The 1,936-nt window shown below is 48.8% G+C and overlaps 1 annotated feature.

Annotated features, from left to right (window-relative positions):
- Positions 1,065–1,661: an enhancer, noted in NCBI's record as "OCT4-NANOG-H3K27ac-H3K4me1 hESC enhancer chr8:82339748-82340344 (GRCh37/hg19 assembly coordinates)". NCBI's record gives its function as "activates a minimal SCP1, AML or CMV promoter by ChIP-STARR-seq in naive H9 embryonic stem cells {active_cell/tissue: H9 hESC(naive)}" and the evidence as "EXISTENCE:reporter gene assay evidence [ECO:0000049][PMID:30033119]".

Below are 1,936 nucleotides of genomic sequence, written 5' to 3'. Positions count from 1 at the left end.
TTTTGCTCATTAGTTGATGCAGTTTCTTCCTAGTCTCGATGGCCTTTACATTTTGGCATGATTTTGCAGCGGCTGGTACCGGTTGTTCCTTTCCATGTTTAGCGCTTCCTTCAGGAGCTCTTTTAGGGCAGGCCTGGTGGTGACAAAATCTCTCAGCATTTGCTTGTCTGTAAAGTATTTTATTTCTCCTTCACTTATGAAGCTTAGTTTGGCTGGATATGAAATTCTGGGTTGAAAATTCTTTTCTTTAAGAATGTTGAATATTGGCCCCCACTCTCTTCTGGCTTGTAGGGTTTCTGCCGAGAGATCCGCTGTTAGTCTGATGGGCTTCCCTTTGAGGGTAACCCGACCTTTCTCCCTGGCTGCCCTTAACATTTTTTCCTTCATTTCAACTTTGGTGAATCTGACAATTATGTGTCTTGGAGTTGCTCTTCTCGAGGAGTATCTTTGTGGCGTTCTCTGTATTTCCTGAATGTGAATCTTGGCCTGCCTTGCTAGATTGGGGAAGTTCTCCTGGATAATATCCTGCAGAGTGTTTTCCAACTTGGTTCCATTCTCCCCATCACTTTCAGGTACACCAATCAGATGTAGATTTGGTCTTTTCACATAGTCCCATATTTCTTGGAGGCTTTGCTCATTTCTTTTTATTCTTTTTTCTCTAAACTTCCCTTCTCGCTTCATTTCATTCATTTCATCTTCCATTGCTGATACCCTTTCTTCCAGTTGATTGCATCGGCTCCTGAGGCTTCTGCATTCTTCACGTAGTTCTCGAGCCTTGGTCTTCAGCTCCATCAGCTCCTTTAAGCACTTCTCTGTATTGGTTATTCTAGTTATACATTCTTCTAAATTTTTTTCAAAGTTTTCAACTTCTTTGCCTTTGGTTTGAACGTCCTCCTGTAGCTCAGAGTAATTTGATCGTCTGAAGCCTTCTTCTCTCAGCTCGTCAAAGTCATTCTCCATTCAGCTTTGTTCCGTTGCTGGTGAGGAGCTGCGTTCCTTTGGAGGAGGAGAGGCGCTCTGCTTTTTAGAGTTTCCAGTTTTTCTGTTCTGTTTTTTCCCCATCTTTGTAGTTTTATCTACTTTTGGTCTTTGATGATGGTGATGTACAGATGGGTTTTTGGTGTGGATGTCCTTTCTGTTTGTTAGTTTTCCTTCTAACAGACAGGACCCTCAGCTGCAGGTCTGTTGGAGTACCCTGCCGTGTGAGGTGTCAGTGTGCTCCTGCTGGGGGGTGCCTCCCAGTTAGGCTGCTCGGGGGTCAGGGACCCACTTGAGGAGGCAGTCTGCCTGTTCTCAGATCTCCAGCTGCGTGCTGGGAGAACCACTGCTCTCTTCAAAGCTGTCAGACAGGGACATTTAAGTCTGCAGAGGTTACTGCTGTCTTTTTGTTTGTCTGTGCCCTGCCCCCAGAGGTGGAGCCTACAGAGGCAGGCAGGCCTCCTTGAGCTGTGGTGGGCTCCACCCAGTTGGAGCTTCCCGGCTGCTTTGTTTACCTAATCAAGCCTGGGCGATGGCGGGCGCCCCTCCCCCAGCCTCGCTGCCGCCTTGCAGTTTGATCTCAGACTGCTGTGCTAGCAATCAGCGAGACTCCGTGGGTATAGGACCCTCCGAGCCAGGTGCGGGATATACTCTCGTGGTGCGCTGTTTTTTAAGCCCGTCGGAAAAGCGCAGTATTCGGGTGGGAGTGACCCGATTTTCCAGGTGCCCTCTGTCACCCCTTTCTTTGACTCAGAAAGGGAACTCCCTGACCCCTTGCGCTTCCCAAGTGAGACAATGCCTTGCCCTGCTTCGGCTCGCATACGGTGCGCGCACCCACTGACCTGCGCCCACTGTCTGGCACTCCCTAGTGAGATGAACCCGGTACCTCAGTTGGAAATGCAGAAATCATCCGTCTTCTGTGTCGCTCACGCTGGGAGCTGTAGACAGGAGCTGTTCC

This window comes from Homo sapiens, chromosome 8 (genome assembly GCF_000001405.40).
Source record: "Homo sapiens chromosome 8, GRCh38.p14 Primary Assembly".
NCBI lineage: Eukaryota > Metazoa > Chordata > Mammalia > Primates > Hominidae > Homo > Homo sapiens.
Note: the sequence above shows the minus strand (reverse complement) of the source record. Positions and strands in the feature narration are given on the sequence as shown.